Raw genomic sequence first — 24,439 nt, forward strand, 5'->3', positions numbered from 1 at the left:
AGCACACCACCCAGTGTATGGGTGAAGGAGGCAGCAGTGTGGCCGGAGAGGAGAGCTGGGCTGGGAGCACAGGAAGGTCCCCAGGACTCTGTGGTCATCAGTAAGAGAGGGCCCACGTGTATATGCTGGTGAACAGAAATGTCAACCTTTTCAAAGTCTGACATTTAAGAGAAAAAACTGTGGCTGTTGGTTTGTGGAACAGACAGCTCCTTCTTTATTGGTAAGTTTTTTTTTTGTCTTGGAACTTAGAAAATATTGTATTTCTTTTGTCTCAATAATTGTTTTATGCTTTGGAGGTAATAGAGTATTACAAAAGTTTATGTTATCAAGTCATGCATTGCGAATACTTATTTATTTAGGCTACTTTAGTCATCCCAAAAAGAAAGAAGAGATGCTGACCTTTGTTGAGTCTATTATGTGACATGCTCTATTCTAGAGACTTTGGTATGTGTTATTTTATGTAATTCTGAAGACAATCCTGGCAGGTAGGTGTGGGGCTATTTTAAAGAGTTAGGGCGGTAAAGTCACACAGCCAGAAGATGGCCATGGAGGGTTGGGAGGCAGATTTTTCTGATCCTAGTCTGTGTTCTTTCTATCTCACAAAGACATTCCATACCATCTGCAAGTCGCTTTTGACTAGCACTCGAGAAAGAAGTATGGGGACATTGGAAACGCTCTAATAGACCACAACCACCTTTGAAAGAGCAGTCATCTCTATGAGCCATAACTATAAGGAAGAAATGCAGATCCCACAGACCAAAATGGAACATGTCTCCCAAACTTCTCACCCTGGGGGCTGTGGCTGCTGCAGAATGGGGGGTGCTGGTGGATCTAACATGAATGAGGCTCGGTGGAGGGGCTGGCTTTGTGCAGGGAGGTTGGGATGAACAAGGGCAGCAGGCGGCATCACAGGTGAGAAGGACATCCCAGGAGGGAGGAAAGAGCCACAGCGTGCTGACGAAGGTGGGATGGGGTGAGGTGGGGGAGACACAGAGAAGCCCAGAGCCAGCCTCGTGGAATACACAGATGTGTCTGGAACGTGTGTCTCTGGATACACTGATGGGTCTGCTTCAAGAGAATTCTTGATGCTGCAATGCATCAGAAGGAGTTCTAGTGATAGCATTGTCTCCCAAGTGAAAGTGATAAACCAGTGACAATCAGTTTCACTGTGTTGTGGGTGAATGCATTTATGTCATTTAACAATACTGCGATTCCATTTGTATAACAATCTCGGATGCACTTGTTGTAATTTTGCATTATGTCTTCTCTAATTAAACATCTGAACCCTCTGAGGCCTGACTTACCTGGAGCTCTCTTATCTAATAATATCAACCTCTAAGGCAGCCTGAGAAAGAGGAAATGAACCCAAAGAGACTCTGCACCAAAATAGATACCACGAAGCCTGTACCCAAACTTGGTGTGTTTTTCTCCCAGGGGAGACCCTCAGGTGCACATTCAGATACACTGGCTCTTATTTTAGGCACAGTTCTGATAAGGGGGGGCTGTTTGGTTTCCCAGCCCAGAGCTTATTGGAAGCAGCACATTCAGTGGGAATGTCACCTGCTGGAGTCAGGCACGCTGGAAGTGATGAGGAATGGCAGACAGCCAGGTGCAGTCAAGAGGTGGGCTGGAAGAACCCCAAAACACAGAGAGGGCAACTCAGTAGACCTCACATGGGCCCATTTAATGCGGAAGCAGATACTGTAGTTCCAAGTATTGGAAGGATCTCAGTGTGGAATTTGGTGTGCTGCTGCAGATGAGAAAGCACACGTCCCCAGCGGCTCCACGAATGGGGCCCAGGCAGGGTTGGACGACGCCCAGCTCCCCTGGAGACAGCCAGAAATCTCATCACATGTCTTAGCAATATTTTCACCCATCAGATCCCAAGTTTTAAATGTTTAAAATGATTAGTTGAAAATTAATTTGGAATAGGCTTCCCCAAGACCAAAATGTTGGTTGGACATTGCTGTGTTGCTGAGTAAAATACAGTAAATATGCAGCGCATCCTTCAGCGTTCAGATGACTGCGTTAGAGAGGATGGGGCATCTAGGCAAGACATGCATTCCTCTTTACTTTTTAAAGCACTCCTATTTTGGGGGGTAGAATGAGAAGATGGATAGATGAAGAAAGGGAAAATGGAACAAAGAAAGGAAAAAGGGCAGGGCAAGGAAGAGGTTCCAGGATAAAATAGACATGAGATCTTATGAGCAGAGATCGTTAGGGCAGGGTGGGTGGACCAGGTCACACAACCGTGACAGACACGGCTCTGGGCTCTGACAACCGCATCGCAGCAGACAGGATCAAGATGCAAAGCAGGGCCCTTCGGCAGCCGGCGCATGACCTAGAGCTGGGTGTAGGAGGACTCTCCGGCAGCTTCTGCCTCTCCCTCCTCACCTTCCCTTGATCGGGCTTATGTCATGAGGACGTCATCCTCCCTGTGCTGTCCCCACCTCCTGCCACACAAGCTGCCTGAAATCCTAGGGGCTGGTGGAGATGGTGGTTTGATGGGTTATAAATCACGTGACTTAGCTGAGACGGTCTAGCTCCCTCCTGCTCCCAGGTGGTCTTCTGAGCAGTGGTAGACCTCGAGAGGAGTTCAGAATCACAGGACCGCAGGACCCAGCCCTGGTCTATCCACCCAGAACCTACATTTGAACCCCAAGGAGAGGCAATTCATAATCACAGTGCACTTGGAAACCCTTCTTCCAGGCATAGGAAACCCCAGTCCAGAGGCATCACTTCATATTTCGGAGGGGTTACTGCCATTGAGTGGCCTAAATTTCAAACCCTGGCACGGAGATGAGCAGGGCCCCCTTCTCTATGCAGAGCCCCCTGGCCGAGGCCTGCTGTGACGGCTGCTGTAACCAGCCTGTGGCTCTGACGTCACCGTGCACACGTCACCCTTTTTCATTTCTGTAGCAGTTTATAAGTCAGTGAGGCTGTTCCCGGCAGACAGAAATGGAAATTAGCACTCTGAATCTGGGTCACCGAGCAGTGCTGTAAATCCCAGGGGAGGCCCCGTCCTTAGCTCTGCATCCAGTGAGGACCTGAGGTGAGGATGTCTTCACAGATCCAAGGGAGGAGGTTTTAGACACATAAATCTGTGTGATTATCCAATGGCAAGATCATTTGATAGGAGATCCCCAACCTAAAAAGAATGTGGCTTTCAGATCTCTTTCTGGTAGACAAACAGATGTTTTAGTAAATCAAAAAATCAGCCTTGTGAGTGTAATTAAATGACTACGTAATAAAATCAGTCATTTTCCTTTGGTCTTTTTGTCAGAATGAGTCTTCAGGTTCTGTAAAGAATCTGTCTCCTCCGACATACATCGCCAAGACAGCGGCGGGCTAATGGGGGCTGTGCTGCCCACTCCTCAGACACTGGATGGGGGTCTCACTGGTCCACCCCGCAGTTGGCTGCTGGGTCAGAGAGTGTGCCAGCCAGACCCCAGCGCCCAGCGCCCTCTAGATGTTGCAGAAGGGCGAGAGAGGCTTTCTGTGGTCCTCATTCTGTGAGCAGACCTGTCCTTTCTGGCAGTCAATTATGCCTTTGCGGAATATGATTGGGAGATTTTTAAGTAAGTCAGAGGAAAACTGATTCTGCTGGAAGTCGGTTTTAGAGCTGCTGAGAGCTATTTCATTCATCATAAAAATCTTGTTGGTTCAACAATACCTCTTTTTCCACATTCCTGGTGTTTAAGCAGGGTGCCTTGTCCAAAAACCTAGTGTCTTTTCCCCATTTTCTGTATCTGACTTGAAGCAAAATAGTATTGTCCACTGTTCTGGAAACTAACACAGAAAGAAATTGTGACTATGGCAGCACTCACACAACAGTTTATCTGGAAACGTCTAGAAGGTGTTATTTTTCCAGCAGTGAAAATTAGTGATATCCATAATAGTCACTATAATTAGTCCTTTTGCTTTTCTTAGAAATTCTGTTTCATTATGCAACCAACTTATTTTGTTATTAAATGAAAGTACAAAGAGAATTTTTTAATAATTACATTTCTTATATTTCTACCTCCTTATACAAACACCATTATGATTTTCATGTCTCTTCTCATACTTGTGTCAGTTTCTCACTTTTATTGCTAAAATTTTGCAAAACTGAGGCTGTATCTATAATGTCATGGTCAGGGTTGGAAGTTTAAATTTGAGACCTCAAAGAAGATTTTTCAAAGGGGATGCTATGAAAAGCTCCCCATTTTCCTCCTAGTTCAAAGATCCGCAGGCGTTATAAAGCGAATGACTACTGGTTAGGTGGAATTCATTTCTGAAGCCGTGGCTGCCGCCAGGAGGGAGCACACCAGCAGGCGTGGATGGGCGTTATTGTTGTGTCTTCTTTCTTGAAAAGCTCCAGGGTCCAACTGCAAGAAGAGATCACGAGAGAGAATGCGGAACTCCTGGCTCTGTCTCTGGAGAACATTCCAGAGGTTGTGCTGGAGCCAGAAGGAGCGCTTTCTTATGCTGCTGTCTCCTTCCCGAACTCTCCAGAGCCTCTGGAGTCTTTCACCGGGGCCTCCCCGCCCTCGCTCCCTCTTGGGAATTCTCTCTCTCCAGCACCCCCGACGCTTTCTGTTTTAGATCAAATTGACCTTTCTGGCTTGACACCCTTTCCAGCACAGGAGGCAGCTGGGCCTTTCTCTGAGGCCCTCCTCTCAGCCCACAGCGCGGCAGATCCCTGCGGGGAAATGTGTCCTCCCTTCTCCCAGCCCAAGCCACCTCCTCCCACCTGCATGGCTTTTGGCCAAAGTTTTCCTTTTGCTTCAACTGAGAGTAGAGCTGCTCTTTCTCCCTGCAGGCACCCTTCACATACTGACGGCAGCCGCCCCCTCGGCCTTCCGCTGCACCCCGCCCCTCATTTCCAGTGGCCCTCTTGCTTTCTCAGGTGTCAGGGCTTCCCGCCTATGCCACCCCCTAGCAGAGAGGCACCCAGGGGTACCCTAACCATTGCAGAGGAGAAGGGCGACCGCCTCCCAGTCCCGGACGCCTGCACATCCGTTAGGCCCAGAGTGGCTGCTCTTCCTGCTGTGGCAGCACTGTCCTGATTTTAGCACAGACGTTTCTACTTTCCGGGAAGTCTCTGGAAAACTGGGAGGGTTGGCCCCCTAATCCTGGGAGTCCAACAGGAAGAGCCAGGAAGATAATGCTGCAGGAGATGACCCGTCCCGTGGGTGAGGGTTCCCTCCCCTCCCGCGGTGGGTGGAGGGTGAGTCCTGTCGTCCTCCTGTGGCGGGAGAGCTGTCCATCATCCATCACTGATTCCTCTCCACTTCTGCGCTGTTCCTGAGGGCTGAGCACAAAGCCTCCTTAGAAAACCAGAGTTCAGGGTGCTTAGATGGAAAGTGTCCAAGAATACTGCTGCGTCTGCGACCACCTCAGCCTCTTTATCCCTCCCCACCACCGTCCCCGCATCCCTCCCTACCACCGTCCCCGTCCCCGCATCCCTCCCTACCACAGCCTCTGCATCCTGCCTACCACAGCTGCATCTTATGTCAGAAGAGTGTTCGAGGGATCTGGGCTGAGGGAATGGAAGGTGTTACCTGCTTGTTTTCAGTTAAGGAAATAACCTGTCTCCTGGGTTTGCTGCTTACCGGAACTCTATTTTCTTTTTTTTTTTCTTTTTTTTTTTTTTTTTTTGAGACGGAGTTTCGCTCTGTCGCCCAGGCTGGAGCGCAGTGGCACGATCTCGACTCACTGCAAGCTCCGCCTCCCGGGTTCACGCCATTCTCCTGCCTCAGCCTCCCGAGTAGCTGGGACTACAGGCGCGCGCCACCACGCCCGGCTAATTTTTGTATTTTTAGTAGAGATGGGGTTTCACCGTGTCAGCCAGGATGGTCTCGATCTCCTGACCTCGTGATCCGCCCGTCTCAGCCTCCCAAAGTGCTGGGATTACAGGCGTGAGCCACCGCGCCCGGCCTCTATTTTCTTTTTTGAGTCTCCCTGTCAGTCCTTAATGTTTTCCACCCCTGTGGTCTCTATTCCCTCAATGTATTCTTCCTTCTTAAACCCTTTAGTTAAGCTCTCACTTGGACATTCTTAAAGAAATTTTGTCTCAAAGAGCACTGAGAACAGTAGTGATGAAACGCGCAGGTCGCTTTTCAGTGCTCAAATTCTTCACTCTGCAGGTTTCCTATAAGCACTTTTCTGTTTTTTTTTTTTTTTTTTCTTTAAAGACACTGTACTAATATTTTAGGACCTATCCTCTGGCCACTTCTGAAGTGTCACTTTTCCAGCTTCAGTCTGTCCTTCTGCTTTGTAAACATGAGCCCAACATCCCAGCAGTTCCATCGGCGTCTCTGGGTTTAATTACAACCTCTCCATGCAAGACCGTTCCTGCATCTCTTGCTAAGCCCCCTCTTTATGACTCAATAGTGGTAACTTCCACCCCCATCTCTACCACCACGACAACAATCATAATTACAAAGCTGCCACTGTGCACCTAATGCTGTGTGAGGCATGAACTTTGTCTTCGATCTTCACATGAATCATTTACAAATCTAAAATCCTCGTGTATTGATTAGGAGACAGACATCTAGAGGTTAACTTGAAAAGTGACTTTCGATTCTTGACATGAGTCTAAAGTCATGTCAAGAATCTCCAAGAATTTTCAGTTACACGAGACATCAATCTCTTCACATTCCAGGTACTTCAATGACATCCATTTTCTTCCCTCTTAGACCGGTTTCTATAACTGTTCTTCTACGTAGAAATAAATTAGTAAATAAAAAGTAAGCTTTCAGTTTGATTTCCCTATTTCTGTCCCGATGTAAAATTTGGCATCATCTTGATTCCCCTTTTGCTTGTTCCTTACTGATATTTTCCAAAACATCTCCCCACATCATTTTCTCTTCACATGTATCCCAGAAAGGTATGAACTTTTGGATCAGATGACATGGTTTTGAGATTGGCTCTTCAACTTATTGGTGTATGAACTTGAGGAAGTTGCGTTTTTCCTCTGAGTTTCAGTTTTCTCATCTGTCACTTGAGGAGGACTATGACAACCCCAGGGCCCCTGGGCCTTTAGTGAGGATTAATGAAAATGAATGGGTGAAATGGCGAGGGTCAGCCCCACATGCTGGACGCCCTTGGTCCCGGCTCCCTTCTCTACTCTGTGATGTCAGGCAGGGCTGCCGCCAGGAGGAGGGTGCACCTGCCCTGTGACCTGCTCTTCTCCCTACCGTAAACTCGCTCCCTGTCCCTCCACGGCCCACAGACGTCTGTGTCTTTGTATTGCTGCCAGCCTTCCGGTCCTGCAGCCACCCTCCCCAGCTCCCCACTGAGGGCTGGTGCCCCCACCTGTCCTTACTGCTCTCCACCTCGGTGCCTTTCTGCCTCCCCACCCAGGCTCATGCTGTTTGTCCCCAAATTGCCTTCCTCCCCCTGCCTACCTGGTCAGATCTGAGTCGCCTTCCTGGCTGAGTCCCAGCCTTTCACGAAGAGCCTGAAGTCCAGGATGCTGGAGGTGGAGGAGCTCCTCTGTGCTCCCTCCTGTGAACTGGACGCTCGCAGTGGCATTTCTTCACTGATCCGTCACACGTAGGCTCTCTGCATATCACATGTGGCTTGTATTGTCATGTATTTAGGCCTCAACTTTCCAACTATATGAGTTCCCAAAAGGTGGGAAGTAAATGGCATACTTTTAACTATTTCTGTAGCTTGTGTGCTGTACATAGTAACTATCTGAAAAAATGATTCGTATCTGAAAAATAATTTATAACAGGTGTTCTCCTGGCTATTTGGGAGAGTAATTTTCAGGCCAGCTACTTTATGGGGTAGAATAACACAGAGTGACTCCCCATGCCCAAATGTATTAGCATATACAGTGAGCATTGAAGGATACACCATTTGACATCTTCGTAAACTCCAAAATTCAAGGTGTCAGCACAGCTTGTACTTCCTCCTATAAAATGTGTTTTTGTCCCTACTAGAGAATTTGCTGATGTAATTTGTTAAGTAGCCTTTTTTAACTTTTTTATGAAGAAAAAGATATAGATCCAAACCACATAACACAGATCCAAGCACTGCTGGGCTCGGTAGTCTATGTTTTTGCAATGGGTGTGAGCCTGTGGCTGCCTGCCAGCTGTCATTGTTGTAGGTTTCTTCTTCCTGTCCCTCCACTCTCAGCACCTGTGCTAACTCTAGGCTTTCCTGGGGAGGGTTTTGTAAAAACCAACAAATGACGCTTTTATTTTAATTTGTTTTGTTTTTTAAAAACATGTTCATTACTTCAGAAGTTTTGTGCGCACAATGAGAGTAGAAAACTGCCCCAGTTATCTACCACCTTGAGTCATGGTGGCTTTAACAGTGATTTATTTACAATCTCTTGTGGCTCTGGGGGTCAACTGGGCTCGGCTGAGTGCTTCTCAGTTGGGGCCTCCACTGCAGGTACCATCAGAGAGTGGGTGGGAGCCATGTCATCCGAAGGCTCGATTGGGCTGGGGGACTCCCACATGTGGCCGGCAGGTGGTGCACTGCTGCTGCCTGGTATCTCAGCAAGAATTCCCAACCAGCTCACCATATTGACTTCCTCAAAGTTTATACAGAGTGTTACTTTAGGGGTTAACAAAGCATTTACTATCTTTTCAACTTTGCTGATAATTTCAAAAGATGACTGACACCCAGATGACCAATGTCCACAAAGTGGTGTGCCATGGCCTCCAGTGTGTGTGCTATGGCCTCCAGTGTGTGCAGAGCCTGTTTGTGAATTAAAGGCAATCACAAGGAGAAACGGTCATGGTGACCCATTCTGAGCTGTACACAGTGTCCTCTGTAGGATTGTAGCCAGAGGCAGATGGCTTTCCTAGAAATGCCTCAATGTTGAGTTTTAAAGCAACTCCTTATGACTGTTATCTGAATTTACCAAACTGTCCCTGGCTTTTCTTAGGAATGAACTTCTGATGTTGCTGTGGAATTTTCTGCCTGGAAACTTATTGTTATGAAACATGTGACTGTAAGCCACATTCCTCGCCTTTTATGCACCTCACAGTGTCTATGCAAATGAACAGTGTGATTTTAAATTTGAGGAAGTTTCAATAAGAGTGAGATCTAAGAGGATCTTTAATATAGGGGCATTTTTAGAGAGCTAAAAACCAAATAGGTCTCAGCTTTCTCAGGGTGACATATAATTTAGATTTGACTTGGAACTACAGAAGGAATATGGGGCAAAGGACATGAGAAACATTGCAGAGGTCAGTGCCATATGGAGCTTCCACCTCAGCTCTCGAAGTAAAGGCAACCAGCCCAGGCTGGGAGCCAGTCAGCAGCAGGGTCTCAATCTCCATCCACTACCTTCCCCTCTGGGGCAGGGAGGGTGTTGCAGGGAGGAGGCCACTCTTGGAGACCTCCAGATCCCTGCCTCTGTGCAGTCTAACAGAAGGGGCCCCCACAGTGGCCATGAATCTCTTTGTTCTGCAAGGAAGGGGGTGTCATTGGGCCTCCTGGGTCCCTCAGCATCTGCGTGGCCACACAACGCGGTTTTGTTCAACACGTTACATTTCTGCTTAATTAATGTTCATTTTTGGTCCCCAGCAAAGTCCAATCTGTTTTTCGTTTTCTTTCTTTTCTTTCCAGGCAGGCATTGCCAGGGCTAATCATCTATAAAAGGGCTTACTTTCTTACCTTCACGCTAAGCAAGACCATCCAAGGGCAGTGTTAGAGGGCACCTGAGAACGCAGGAGGGGTGTGTTACCTGGTGGCCTGTTTCTTCCTCCTATGGGCAGCCCTTCTACAGGAAGCAGAAGCCTCAGGGGCGATGGTAGAAATGAGGAGGAGGGGATGGAGCTGAGGTAGCAGGGGAGGGGTCGTAAGAGCAGAGGGGAGGGTCTTGCTTTGTTCGCCATCCAATAATCAGCAGGTTTCGGGTTGGGGTGAACTACTGGGGAGGAGCGCCCCAGGGCTTCTCTCAGATGGAGGAGGGACAGGTCACCCAGAGTGAAGGAAGTTGTGAGCTCTGTTAGAGGAAAACAGCCAGGACTTAGTCAGGAGAGGCTTTGTTTGGAAGGATTGTTGTAAGGCAGGGAGAGGAATGATGGCAGCAAGAGGACCCCGTGACCATAGGTCTGCAAGCACTTCAAACAGAAAAGGCCCTTCTTTTATCCAGTAAGGGGGAGCCACTGGGGCCAGCAGAGTCTTTGGAGGGGACCCTGGACAAACCCGGGAAAATGGCCAGTGGGGTTGAGCAGGACACAGGTCCTGCTGTGTCTAGCTGGTTCCCCAGAGAGATGATAAGGGGTGCGCTCCAGCTTCTCAGGCTCACTCAGGCGTGAGGACGTGGAGCTCAGGGCTCTGCAGGAAGGAGCGACCCAGGTGAGGTGTGGTCAAGATAGAGCAGAGCTGGGCAGCGGGCAGTGGAGCCTCGTGGGCAGCCTGGGGGTGGGGAGGCACAGTGCACTGGGAAGTGGAGAAAGTGTGAGTCCATCAGGCTGGCTGAGAATTGATCACGAACCTATTGTCTGTAAAACTTTTGTTATTTCCTGAGACGTGGTTCACAGCAACCCAGGTGCGAACAGCCTTGTGATTCTAGGGTTCTTTTCTATTTTTTAAGCACTTGCATCTACAAATAAATTTCTGAGTGACTTGTCGTCAGCTGCTTTCCTTGATATGTCTAAAGACAGGGCAGTGACCCGCATCGTCACCCAGAGATTCTGTCTCTGTGCCACATGAAGATTAGGTGCCCGCTTTTGATTGAGGAGCTCCTCTGTTGCTCTCAAAGTATCTTGTAATAATAGCTGAGATGCATGGAGAACCACCTCTCCTTCAGGCGCTGCTCCTCGGCTTCCGTGGACGGGCATGGCTATTTCTCGGAACCCTCTGAGGTTAGAGCTGTCATGGTCTTTCTTCTGAAAGAGGAAACCGAGGCTTGCTGGGGCTCAGTGGCCCTTCTGTGGCTGCACAGCTTTCGGGGTGGGGCCAGGACTGACTGACTCCACACAAAAGTGCTCCCGGCCCATGTCTTTAACTCACACGGCCTCTTGCAAACGTTCCCAAATCTTCCCAGTCGGCTTGCAGAGACTCCTTGCTCCCAGGAGATAACCAGGTAAAGGAGTATGAAAGTTTGGGTACAAACTCATTGCTGCAAATTGAAAACCATGCAAAGGCTGTCTTCCTCTGGGGAGTTCAATGCCTCTCTTTTTCTTATCACTTTACCATTGGTTGGACTTTGATTCCAGGGATCCTACGATTACTCAATACCCTACAGGATATACATGGTTAACCATTTGCATTTGGGCAAATAGGCGTTACTTTTCAATAGGAAGTGGCAATCCAGAACTTGCTTTTGGGCAATTCTAGTAGCTCACCGCTTTTTTCTTAATGACTGCTAGAAGCTGCATCTTATTGACAGATGGTCATCACATTGGTGAGCTGGAGTCATCAGATTGTGGGGCCCGGAGTGAGGCTGAAGGGAGTGGATCAGAGCACTGCCTGAGGTGAGCATGCCAAGGCCCCTGAGACTTTTCTTTCAAAAATGTAACTTCTTTGATCCCCTAGTCTGACAGGAATGGGACTGTTTTACTCATTAATCTTCCAGAATGCTGGCATATTGACCATGTTTATGCTTAACGACACAGACTTCCTTTCCTGAAAGCATTGACTTTATGGTTTTAGGAAGCCCACTTTTCCTCTAAGTGTATAGTAAGGGATTTCATACTCGCTCCCTGCACTGGAGCTTCGGTGATGGTCTGGGTACTTGCTCCTCATACAGGAGATATCCTCAGGGCATCAGTCTGGAGAGGAATGTGATTCTTTATTTGATCAAATACACTGAAAGATTTTGGAAAACAAAAAAATTAAGCTAAGAAATATTTTGGAGGCAGTAAGTCATTTATGCAATGAAGGCTGATGAGTGGGCATCCCGGACAGCCTAAGATTGAGCAGGAAGGAGCTTGTGAGGGGGAGTTAAGAGAAATTGACAAGGTGGAAATTTCAACAAGTCTCAGTTGCAAAGCTCTCATGAGGGCTGCCAATGCCACTGTGATTATGAAGGCAGTATCTTATGACCAGAAAATAATACACAATGATATTAAAGGGAGCCAGGCTAGGTGCAGTGGCTCATACCTGTAATCTCAGCACTTTGGGAGACCAAGCTGGGTGTATCAGCTGAGGTCAGGAGTTCGAGACCAGCCTGGCCAACATGGTAAAATCCCGTCTCTACTAAAAATACAAAAATTAGCCAGGCATTGTGGCATGTGCCTGTAATCCCAGCTACTTGGGAGGCTGAGGCAGGAGAATCACTGGAACTTGGGAGGCGGAGGTTGCAGTGAGCCGAGATCACGCTACTGCACTCCAGCCGGAGATCAGCTCCAAAGTCCACTTAGCAGCAGGACATAGATATTGTAGAGATCAGCTTTATAAAGAAAAACAAAAATGCAAGGCCATAACTAAAGCTATTCTTTAAATGGTTAAAGATGTAATTTCTGCAAATAAAACAGAAAACATAAAAGCAAACTTCCAAAGAAATTAAAGGAACTGAAAAAAAAAAAAAACCAACCCACAGAAGCTTAATAAACAAATCACCGGGGGAAAACAAAAAAAAAATCAAACCTCCTGGTCTCCTCCTTAGCCACTCTCATTCAAAAGCAGAAGGAAGCCAGCCTAGAGTTTCAGCTCCACTGATGCTTATCTAAAAAGGTATAAAATATGGTGGGCCCATGATTCAAATAAACTTAGAGAACATAAATGTATTGAACACCTACCATTACAGTATGCAAAACTCTGATATCAATAAGATGTTTTAAAATAAATATATTATTTAAGATCTTGTGGGAATTCTATGGCATTTCACTAAGACCTGCTGGTGGCAAGGTGAATTAGAACGGCGAGTAAGAGACAGTAATGGGAGTCTCACCAGTACTCACAGTCCTAGATGAGCTACACTCGCTATCTGTAAAATGGGTATGATGTCTACCTTAAAGGGTTTTGTGAGGTTAAAAGAGATAAACAGCTGTAAACCAGTGATTCTAATGCCTAGCAGGTAACTAGAACTTAATTTACAGCATATGCGCGCACACACACACACACACATATGCGTGCATATATACATACACACACGTCCATATGTACACACACACAGTTATACACATACTGCACACACATGCATGCATACACACATGTATGTATACATGCAGGCACCAATATACACCCATGCACACACATGCAAATACACACATACACATGTATACACACATGTGCACACCTATATACACACATGCATACACATGCATATACACATACATGATATAAACAGGTGTATATATGCAGGCATATGCACACTGCACACATGCACACATGCCTAGACACATACATACACACACACCGACATATGCACACACACACACATACTCTTATTTAGTTCTTGCTCCTTGTTTTGCAGGGCCACTACTATTTATGAAAGTAAGCACAAATTTAAAACTGTCTGACAATTGTAACACATTGTTAAGCTAGTTATTAAATGTTTTTAAATTACAAGTCCACACAGTTTTTATTACCAGTAATATTTTCATAACTATTACTAATGTTTTCCCCATATTGAATTTTCTTGGACAGAGTCTGTCCTTGGCCAAAGGGATGATCAATGGCAGTCGGTCTGTTGCTTGGTCCCCCCAACCCCTGCTCTTCTTGGGGAGCCCCCCACCCACAGCTCTCACCGGCCTTCCCTCTTTGCTACCACCACAGAGCCAGCCAGTATTGGTCTCCCTGAGAGTGTGTGCTGTGGCTACCCACCTCTTCTGGGGCCATTTGCCTGTGATTAGAGGACTCCCAATGCCCTCAAGTCCAAAAACATGGTTTTCTCTAAGGTAGAGGCACCGTTGAAGGCCGGGGGGAGATGAGTGTGGCTGTGTTTGGAGAACTGAACACGGCCTTAAATCCTATAGTGAGGGCAGCCCCTCCCTCTTTCTTCTGGTTCTGCTTTTTAGCAGAATGTATAATTAGGTGTTCTTTTCATTTCTAAATGAATTAGCCAATTAATTATTACTTTCTGAGATACTCTATTGCATATTGTACCTAATAAAAGTTGTACTAGGAAGCCACATTACTTTATTGCAATAAAAATTGCAAAAAAAATTGAACATTTTAAATGCTATGTAAGAAATATTATTCTGGAATTAAGTTTTTATTAAAGTAACAGTTTTAAACATGTGTGATAACAAGATCTTTGAAATGTTAAAATTGAAATTCAGAGGCTAAGTTATTACTTACCATGTGCATATATTTAATCTTCATGAGATCCTAGTACATTTGCATTTCATTTAAAAGAGTAGGGTGGTGGCTTGTAGTCCCAGCTACTCTAGAGGCTGAGATGGTAGGATAGCTTGAGGCCAGGAGTTTGAGGCTGCAGTGTGCTATTATCGTGCCTGTGAATGGCCACTGCACTATAGCCTGGGCAACATAGCAAGACCCCATCTCTAAAAAAAGGTAGTTTATTTATATGATTTCAAGCCTAAAATACATACTGAAGTATAGCTTATCATTATTTGCCTCTAAGTAAGGGAAGAAAAAGCCATTAAAAATATCTTTTAATACGAGTTTATTTCTAAGTCTAACGTATGTCCACAAAGAGAAGAGAATCAATCAGACGTGAGGCCTGCACAACTTTTGTTTCATGCATTTGCTAGGGGAATGGAGGCACTTCAAGTCAGAGGCTGGTGTGGGGACCAGCACACCGTCTAAAGATTCCTCCTGTGTTTGCCTTGGTGGCACCCCTTGCCACATTCCCTGGGTCAGGCAATGCCAGCCCTGGGGGGCCTGTGAGCTGCTGCAGTCAGGTGGTGGGTGCATGTAGCCATCTTCTTGTCTTCCCTCTGCTGTTGCCTCGAATAGGGATTGGCCCCTAGGAGCTGCTCAGACCTGTCTTTGGATGAATGAATGAAGAGTCCTCTAGGTTAGTGATATTCTTTGGCTGTGTCCCCATCCAAATCTCATCTTGAATTGCAGTTCCCATAATCCCCACGTGTGGTGGGAGGGACCAGGTGGAGATAATTGAATCATGGGGCAGTATCCTGTTCTCGTGATAGTGAGTGAGTTCTCACGGGATCTGATGGTTTTACAGGGGGCTTCCCTCTTCGCTGGGCACTCATTCTTCTCCTTCCTGCCATCATGTGAAGAAGGATGTGTTTGCTTCCCCTTCTGACATGATTGTCAGTTTCCTGAGGCCTCCCCAGCCATGCTGAACTGAGTCAATTAAACCTCTTTCCTTTATAAATTACTCAGTCTCAAGTATGTCTTTATTAGCAGTGTGAGAACGGACTAATACAGTCAACTTATTGATCATATGGTTTATATAATCATACATCTATAATTATATAGATTATATAGTCAGATTATATGATTTATATCATCATATAAATAAACTACCTTTTTTAAAGAGATGAGGTCTTGCTATGTTGCCCAGGCTGGAGTGCCGTGGCCATTCACAGACACGATAATCACACACTGCAGCTTGGAACTCCTGGCCTCAAAAATTTCCCAAAGTGTTTCCAAAGAACAGGAACTGAAAAGGTTCTGTGAGTGAGAAGGTTTGGGAAATAGTGAGTTATTCCAGCAGGGCTCTGAAGGGCCACTGATAAACAAGCTCTAATAGGAATAAACTAGGGAAGGATGTAGTTAGCATCTTATTAATGTCTTAATATACTAGCCACAGAGAAATCATTTCCCACCCCTGTCTGTCTCCCTCCCTTCTTTTTACCCAGAGCATCTCTTGGAACTCACTTTTAGATGCTGGATGCATGAATTCCCTAAGAAGAAACAGCTCCTAAATTGAAGTATGCATTAGAATAATACAGAGATTGTGTTAATGCAAGGATTTGAATCTTCAAAGCAGACATCCATAGGATCTATAGATCTTACCTAATGTCAAACTTTACTAATGATTCAATAACAAAAACACTAGGCAGAGAGATGCATCCCATGTTGGCTGGGCTGTTCTCAAACTCCTGGCCTCAAGTGATCCACCCACCTCAGCCTCCCAAGGTTCTGCGATTACAGGTGTGAGCCACTGTGCCCAGCTATTCTGTGCTTTTAGATAGGGGTTCCCAGGCTTCTTTCCACTAGTAAGTACTATTTGCATGTTTACAAGGAGATCTGGTCCTCGCCCAATCCAGTCATGGGCAGAGTTCAGTTCTTTGTGACTGTAGGACTGAGATCCTCATATTCACGTTGGCTGTCAGCAGAGGGCCTTTTTAGCTTCTCAGGGCAACCACATGGCTCGGCTTGTGGCCCCCTCTTCTGTCTGCAACTCCAGCAACAATACATTGAATCTCTCACCTTTGAATCTTTTCTTCTCCCGTCTCCAGGGAGAAGGACTCTTCACCTCTAGGGACTCGTGATTGCAGTGGGTCCAACTAGATAATCCAGCATGATCTCTGCTTACCTCCAGGCCCTTAGATCTTTGACTTCATTGCATATGCAAAATCCCTTTTGCTGTGTAAGGCAACACGTACACAGGTTCTGGTGCCTGTGTCAGGGCCTGGGCAGGGGGCCATGATTCCGCTAACCACAAGCGTGACATGGGGCCATGATTCTGCCGACAAGTGCTGTCCCCTGTGTCCGGTGCCTCCGCGCTCTATCTATTATTGGGTTGGAAAGCCTTAGTGACCACGGTGGAGAGTACCCAGAGGTGAGCAGAGCTGGCTGGCTTTCCAGCTGGCTGGATGTCTGCGCCCACATAGTACTGATTAACTAGCCTCTTGGTGAGATTACTAGCAAATAAAATTCTTAAGATTTTTGCTGCTGCTGCACTTTCATCTTATATCTGTGTAGTTGCTTATTTATTTTTGTATTTTTATTTTTTATTTTTGAGACGGAGTCTTGCTCTGTCACCCAGGCTGGAGTGCAGTGGCACAATCTCAGCTCTCTGCAAACTCTGTCTCCCAGGTTCAAGTGATTCTCTTGCTTCAGCCTCTTGAGTAGCTGGGATTACAGATGTGTGCCACCACACCCAGCTAATTTTTTTATATTTTTGGTAGAGACAAGGTTTCACCATGTTGGCCATGCTGGTCTCAAACTCCTGACCTCAAGTGATCCGCCTGCCTTGGCCTCCCAAAGTGCTGGGATTACAGGTGTGAGCCAATGCACGCGGCCTGCTTATTTAAAGCTATGTGGAGAAGCTTCTATTTTCCCTACTGAATTTTACAACATTAGATTTACCCATTGCTTGATTCTGTCCAGAATATTTGTACATTGATTCTGTCATCCAATATATTAATTATCTTTTTAGGCTTCTTGACATCTTCAGATCTAATGAACTTGCCTCCTCTCTTTTTGCCCCTCTCATCAATAGAAGCAATGGGCAGGACACAGCTGAAGGCCGAAATCAGTGCAGTGTCCATAGGGCCTTGTGCCAGCCTGCCAGCAAAGTGGTGTCACAGAGCCAATTGTCCAGACACCTAGCAAGCCACCTAATTGTACTTGCACCTGGATCATGGTTCCTCTTCTTGATTGCTTATAAGTTTCAGATTTTATCGTAAGTGTTCAATGTCTGTAACACCTCCCTGATCTGCAGTTTATTGACTGTTACCACCAAGGCTTGGAAATCAGTGTGACATGACTGAGTGTTACCAAACCCACGCTGACCCCCAAGGGCCCACCACTTCCGTTCCAGACGCTCCTGCACTTGCTTCATAATGCCCTCAACACCCTGCTGAGAACCAACAGCCAACATTTTACCTCATTCGGAGGCATTATCTTCTTTCTCTCTGCAAATGGGTTTTGAGCTTCCTTACACCAGCTCTATGCTCCTGGACTTCACAGGCACCATTCGCTGGAGTCAGGCAAATTCACTGCAACATTCCCTGAATATTTTTGAAATGCTTTTTTTAAAAAAGAGTAGAGAGGTGCCAAACAGGAATCAAGAAATTCTGCTTTCTCTTGTCTTCAGAACATGTGATAAAGCTCAGTCAATGAGATATGCCTTCCTGGTGAAGGAGATACTCAGGGGATGAGACATGATGAGTCTCTCATTTGGTGTCATGCCATAGTGTGCCCGCCCTACAGGGTACCCCGGGTCCTGTGAGAGGCTAACATTCAGGTGGGGGGTGACAATGAGTTACTGAGACAGCAACAATCGACACTTTACTTGAGGCAGCTGAATATTGGAAAAGAAGCCTCTTAACTGCAAAACCGAATTGAGTCAAATGACATTTCTAAAGTGTGTCATTAGATGACTTTTTCTTAGAGCCCCTGAAACTCCTCCTCCAAAGAACAGTGTGTCCTACAGAAGCTCTAGAAGTATTCCTCTGCCCACTTGTTTGGGAAATATCTAAATTCCAAAGACAAGAAAATTACACTTTAAGAATCAGTTGAGCTGAATGTATTTTACATGTGATTTAATGACATCAAAGTGAGATCTGGTGAGAATGGTGGTCATAGGGACCACGTGTGAGATAGGAAGTGCTGAACCTCAAAGAGACAGTGTGAGATGTGTTGCAGGTGGCTGCTTTGCAAGGGTAGGTTCACTGGTTCACCAAGAACTGGACACAGGGCTCAGCACATTTCCCTGCATCTCTCATCTGCCACTCGTAGATAACAGGGTGTCTTATTCTCAGTTCATTAAAGAAGGAACAGAAATATCTACTAAAAAACTTCTTAGTGTCTTCACATCAACATTTTCTTAATAGAAAATCTGCAGCCTGTTTCTCCAAGGAGCTGGTGACTGCTGCCTGAGATCTGAGATGATAGAGCAAGTTGTGAACAGGATTCTTTACACGTTGAGGTGATACCCACGCCAATCTGTCACCAAAACAGTTTCCTTAAAACAATTCACACAGTTTTTCCTGTGAAAACAGTGGCTTGGGGAAGGCCGAATCATTTTCAATGACTGTGGCTGGCATACAGGTGAACCTGACAACCACCGTTTTTATGGAGAATCCTGATTCTTAACCACAGTGACATTAAATTTGTCATTATCTAGAATTGTACATTGTTTATACCTAACACGTGCAAAACACCATCCTAAGAGACATGGAATTTATCAATTTTGGTTCATTGACTTATTCTGACATGAGAATAAATGAAAGGAAATTAAAGTAGTGTCTTATGAACAGGACGGAGTAGGCCAGCTTCTCATAGCTCTGCCGGGAACTTCCTGCCCTGTGGCCTGTGTATCTGGTTCCCTCTGGGCCTCCTTCTCTCAGGGACCCCACCCTCTGGGCCCCCCTCCCTCCGGGACTCCTCCCTCTGGGACCACCCTCCCTCTGGACCCCCTCCCTTTGGGACCCCTCCTTCTGGGACCCCCATCCCTCTGGACCCCTTCTCTCTGGGCCCCCTCCCAACTCCTTCTGCCGACAGGGATCCATCACACAGGCGCCCCAGTGCTGGCCTTCTGTTCACCAAGAGTTACTCACTTTCTGGGGTGCATCTCGTGATGACTGCTAGCATGGAACCGTTATATAATTACTTGTTTACCTGGCAGCCTTTTGAAGCTCAAGTACGCGTTGAGTCATCGCTGCACTTCAGTGCCTCTCCTCCGTAGACAGTTCATAAACATTTGTTGAACTGAGTTCAACTTAAATTCAGAAAATACTGTGTGTCACGGTGCAGTTAAACAAATGCTTACCTTAAATGGGGGCCCGTTGGGCATCGAGTGCACGGCGTGCCGGGCCGTCCCTCCCTTTTTGGCCCCCGCTGCTCTTCCCATCGTCATCAACTCAGCCTCCACGTGATGGGGAGGTCACTCCCTCCCATCCGGTCCCAGCCCCACTCACCTGGGAACCCGTGCCGCTGGCCCCACCTTGGCCTAGCATCCGTCCAACCCTGCAGCGACCGCTCCCCACAGCCCCTGCTCCCTTGTTCTCCAGAGCCGCGCCCCTGCTGCAGGCCTCCCCCTCGCTGTCCCCAAGCCCCTGCCTTCCACCCACACTGCCCACTCCTTCCCACCGTCCCCGCCTCTGTCCTTATGGAGTCCTCAAAAGCTCTTCTTGCCCCAGAACCTCCCATTACCCCTCAGTGCTCAGCGGCAGATCCTTGCTGTGACTGTTTATGGCACTAAGTGTCTGTTCCAACACATTTGCGCGGAAGAGTACGCAGGTACTTTTAAATTAACTTTATTGAGGCTAATTTATATGCAATAAATGTCACCGATTGAAGGGTACAATTCAACAGGTCTTGACAAGGGCACCCAGCCATGTGCCACCCCCACAATCAGGATAGAGGACATTTCTGCCACCACAAAAGCCCCTTGTGTCGCCCAACCCCAGCCAATCCCTTCTTCCCGTCCTGATGACAATCCCTGATTTCATTCCTGCCACTGTTATTTTGCCTTTTCTAGAAATGTTAGGGGTGGAATGGTGCAGTGCATGGTCTCTTCTGCCTGGATTTCTTACCGAGCGAAGGTTTTGAGTCACCCCCGTTGGAGCATGCATTAGTCGCCCGTTCCTTTTCATGGTTGAGTAGTATATGCTGTTGCATGGATACACTTCAACTCGGGTATCTGCTCACCAGTTCACAGACATTTGGGTCTTTTTCAGTTTGGGACGGTTAAGAATAAACCTGCTGGGAATGTTCCAGTGTTAATCCTCCCATGTCTCTTGGGTAGACATGTAGGAGTCGGTTGCAGGTTCCCATGGTGGATGCATGTTCAGCTGTGCAAGAAAGGACCCCACTGTCTCCTTGGAGTGGCTGTGTGATCTTGCAGTCCCACCAACAAAGTGTGAGAGCCCCAGATGCACCATGTCCTCTCCCAGCTTCCAGCCCCCTGTTTAATCTTAGTCCTTCCAGTGGGATCTCTGTGTGTGTGTCTGTGTGTGTGTGTGTATGTGTGTGTGTGTTTTGGACGGAGTCTCTCTCTGTCACCCAGGCTGGACTGCAGTGGCGTAATCTCAGCTCATTGCAACCTCCGCCTCCCGGGTTCAACTGATTCTCCTGCCTCAGCCCCCCAAGTAGCTGGGATTACAGGAGCACGCCATCACGCCTGGCTAATTTTTGTATTTTTAGTAAAGATGGGGTTTCACCATGTTGGCCAGGATGGTCTCGAACTCCTGGACTTAAGTGGTCCGTCTGCCTCGGCCTCCCAAATTGCTGGGATTACAGGCCTGAGCCACTGTTCCCAGCCTTCATTGTGGTTTTAATTTGCATTTTCCTCATGATTAATGGCATTGAGCGTCTTTTTTGTGTGTGTATTTGCCATCCATGTATTTTCCTTGGTGAATTGCCTGTTCACATTTCCCCCTGTTTCTTATTGTTTATGTTTTTGATAGGGAGTTGTAAAAATTATTTGTATATTCTGGATATAACCTATTATCAGATATAAGCTTTAACATACTTTTTTCTATTCAATATATATATGTTTCACTTTCTTGAGTGTCTTTCAAAGAGCAGAAGTTTTACATTTTGTACAATCAAGTACAATTTATCAATTTTTTTACAGTTCATTCTTTTTGCAATTTATATAAGAAGCTTCTTTTTCCAGGGTCACAAAGATTTTCTCCCATTTTTCCTTCTAGATGTTTTATGCTTTAGCTCTCACATTTAGATTTATAACTCATTTGAGTTACCTTTTGCAAATGGTGTGAGGTAAGCAGTAAGGATCGACTTTTTGTTCATGTCATTCCAGGACCATTTACTGAAGACTGTTCTTTTCCCATTGAGTTACCTTGGCACCTAAGTTAAAAATCAGTCCGCCATCTATATGTGGATCTATGTCTGGCCTCTGTTCTGTTCCAGTGATTTATGTAACTGTCCTTTCAGAAATCCAACACCGTCATGGTTAGTGTAGTTCCTTGTCAGCTCTGAGACTGGGTAGTGTGAGTCCTCCATTTTTTTTTTATCTTTTTCAAAATTGTTTTGGCTATTTTAATTTCCTTGAATTTCTATAAAAATTTTGGAATTGACTTGTCAATTTCTCAAAAAAAAAACCCTACCATAATTTTGATTTAGTTTATGTTGTATCTACAGATCGATTTGGGGAGAAATTATATCTTGAAATTGAATCTTTGATAAATTTGAACATGAAATGTCATTGAAAATTGAACATGATAAATTTCTCCATTAATTTAGGTCTTATTTAATTTTTGCCAACAATGTTTTGTAGTTTTTAGCATATAAATCTCACATAAATTTTGTTAGAGCTATCCATAAGTATTTTACATTTTATGATACAATTGTATATATAATTATTGATACTATTATATATGATATATGTGTGTATATATATATATATATATATATATATATATATATATAGTTTTAACATCCAAATGGTAATTCCAATTGGTGTATTTTATTTTACATATTGTATATTTCACCTCCCATGCCCTCCACCCCTGCCATGCTCTGCAGCTTAGAAAGAGTGTGTATCATTTCTCACTGTATTTGTTCTCCTCCTGCCAGGATCCATAATCCTGTGATGCCTAGTGCCGAGGTCTGAAAATGGTTGTTACATTTTGTAGGTTTTTCTAGTTGTTTAATGCAGCAGGGTGCCTTTGGTCTCTGTTGATCCACCGTGGCTGGAAGCTGAAGTTTAGCAGTGGTGTTCTGATTGCTGTGCTTCTTCTGATTGATACGATTACCTCGTCACATGCTTTTGCAACACAGGGGTCTATACCACGCTTCTTCTGCATACTCTAAAGCACTCAACTGTATACCTGCTGGGATTACAAAAGTGCAGAGGTGACTCCATACCTTCCTCCAGCTTTTTAGGCCCAAAGCAGTGACTGAGGGGCAGTGAAGAACCGATCTCTAAGTTGTGACTCCAGGCATCAGGGAAGGAATGGGGTGGAGTAAATAATGAAATGAGAATCAAAATTATGTAAGAAATAGGTTTGGAAAATAATTCAGGGTGAACTTTGTGTTACATGGGCTTCCTCTCCAAAAGGTCAGTATCCACGTGGACTCGTAAGTGAGGACTGATATGACACAGTGTGGGGGCGAGGAGGGCAGTTCCACTTTCTCTGCCTGTGCACCTGGGGCTGCACTTCCCTAGCTGCTCCCGCTTGGCATGGCCAGGCCCACGTGGTGCGAGAGCAGGGAAAAGAGGAGGAAGATGGGCGATTGGCTGGGAAGCACATCCAACGTCAATATCAGAGCGTTTCAGGCCATGGATTTTACTGGGGGACGTCCAGGGCGTGTTAATAAACAGGATGATGGACAATGCTGGAAAGAAGGAGTGAGCCTGAGAATAGCGAAGGGTTTTTCTTTCTTTTTAAGTTTGCTTCAGATGGTGGATTTCAAAGCCCTTCGTCCTCAGGCGCTCCACAACCGCTCCAGCTCTTCCCGGTCTCCTGCTAAACTTCTTCAGCCTGGACCCATGCACCGCCACTGCTGGCGTTCCCAGCACACGGTATACTCCATTGTTTCCTGACAATCCAGTTGATTCGGCCAGGCTGGTTGCTCAGCTGTTTCACAAACATACAGGGCTCATGACTCAGGACTGCTCTTCAGCCTGAGACGAGCTGGTCACCTGAAGGAGATGGCGGTTCTCTGTCAATCATTGGCCCATAGCCTCACCATTCTCCAAGAACCCTGATCAGAGCCTCCTCCTCCAGGAAGTCTTTCCTAACTGTGCCAGCCTCCACCTTTCCTCTGGCATTTGGATTTCTGATGATTAGGATGCCTCTGCCACAGCAGATTCATGCTTGTGACCTGGAATGTCTACTGGAAAGGTCTGCGGCTGTGGAGAAGCAGGTGCATTCCTCTCCAGCGCCTTCCCAGGCTGGAGCAGCTTGTTCAGTGTGTCTTGAGAACAGCACTCATAGTCAAACTTTAAATTCTACTGGAGATTCTCACATGCCCACAGGGGTGATCATCACTGACATATATTGTGAACGATTTAAAGCCCGGGACTATGAATTATACATTTTCTATGCGCTTTCACACTTCTATAGATTTTGTTCAGTAAAATCTTGTTGAATGTTTTTAAATTTTGCGTAAAGATTTTTGTGCAGATCAAAACTTGTGGATTTCTGAGAGCACCTTATTTAACCAATAGATCAAGGGTTGGCAAATTATAGCCTCTAGCCAACGGACCCCGGCGAGGCCTGTTCAGTTATGTAATTGTAGATGCTTTCAAGCTCCAAAGGCAGATTTGAGGAGCTGTGACAGAGACCATATGGCCTGAAAAGCCCTAAAATATTTACTATCTGGCCCTTTACAGAAAGAGGTTGCTGATGCCTATTCTCAATGAATATTTGTATGTAAAATAGTGTGCTGTGCACTCTGTTCACACGAGATGGAATGCTGGTAACTTAACTGTCTGGCTCTCCAGGAATACCTGTGTTAACTGTAGTGCATTTTGCCTTCTTTCCTTCTTAGAGTCACCTCTACTTTCCTGCTACCGCTGCCTGTGAGCTGAAGGGGCTGAACCATACACTCCTTTTTCTACAACCAGCTTGCATTTTTTCTGCCCACAATGAGCGGGGTAAGATTTTTATTTTTGGCAAGGGGTATAATTTGGGTTCACTGTGGCTACTTGAACACTACACTGCAGCTAACTCTATCTTTGTTTCCT

The 24,439-nt window shown here is 46.1% G+C and overlaps 1 protein-coding gene and 1 long non-coding RNA gene across 4 annotated transcripts in view, besides 4 other annotated features; one reads left to right on the forward strand and one right to left on the reverse strand.

Annotated features, from left to right (window-relative positions):
* CCR6 (C-C motif chemokine receptor 6) overlaps positions 1-24,439 on the forward strand; it is a 27,347-nt gene continuing 2,908 nt past the window's right edge. Inside the window, exons 1-3 of one of the 3 annotated variants that reach the window (NM_001394582.1) lie at positions 10,959-11,038; positions 11,325-11,429; positions 24,244-24,349. In NM_001394582.1, the coding sequence (NP_001381511.1) occupies positions 24,341-24,349 (9 nt within the window). In that variant the 5' untranslated portion in view covers positions 10,959-11,038; positions 11,325-11,429; positions 24,244-24,340. Of the gene's footprint in view, positions 221-10,958; positions 11,039-11,301; positions 11,430-24,243; positions 24,350-24,439 lie in introns of those variants that run through there. The other 2 variants (NM_004367.6, NM_031409.4) reach the window with 2 other exon arrangements.
* Positions 1,593-1,732: an enhancer, noted in NCBI's record as "active region_25454". NCBI's record gives its function as "activates an Ori minimal core promoter by ATAC-STARR-seq in GM12878 lymphoblastoid cells {active_cell/tissue: GM12878}" and the evidence as "EXISTENCE:reporter gene assay evidence [ECO:0000049][PMID:35858748]".
* Positions 2,593-2,742: an enhancer, noted in NCBI's record as "active region_25455". NCBI's record gives its function as "activates an Ori minimal core promoter by ATAC-STARR-seq in GM12878 lymphoblastoid cells {active_cell/tissue: GM12878}" and the evidence as "EXISTENCE:reporter gene assay evidence [ECO:0000049][PMID:35858748]".
* Positions 7,211-7,711: an enhancer, noted in NCBI's record as "H3K4me1 hESC enhancer chr6:167532493-167532993 (GRCh37/hg19 assembly coordinates)". NCBI's record gives its function as "activates a minimal SCP1, AML or CMV promoter by ChIP-STARR-seq in naive H9 embryonic stem cells {active_cell/tissue: H9 hESC(naive)}" and the evidence as "EXISTENCE:reporter gene assay evidence [ECO:0000049][PMID:30033119]".
* Positions 14,511-15,533, reverse strand: LOC107986672 (uncharacterized). Its single transcript, XR_001744470.2, has 2 exons — positions 15,355-15,533; positions 14,511-14,851 (listed from the first exon to the last, which is right to left on the reverse strand). It is a non-coding gene; the product is annotated as an uncharacterized LOC107986672 (long non-coding RNA).
* Positions 17,470-17,659: an enhancer, noted in NCBI's record as "active region_25456". NCBI's record gives its function as "activates an Ori minimal core promoter by ATAC-STARR-seq in GM12878 lymphoblastoid cells {active_cell/tissue: GM12878}" and the evidence as "EXISTENCE:reporter gene assay evidence [ECO:0000049][PMID:35858748]".

The sequence above is a fragment of the Homo sapiens genome, chromosome 6 (genome assembly GCF_000001405.40).
Source record: "Homo sapiens chromosome 6, GRCh38.p14 Primary Assembly".
NCBI lineage: Eukaryota > Metazoa > Chordata > Mammalia > Primates > Hominidae > Homo > Homo sapiens.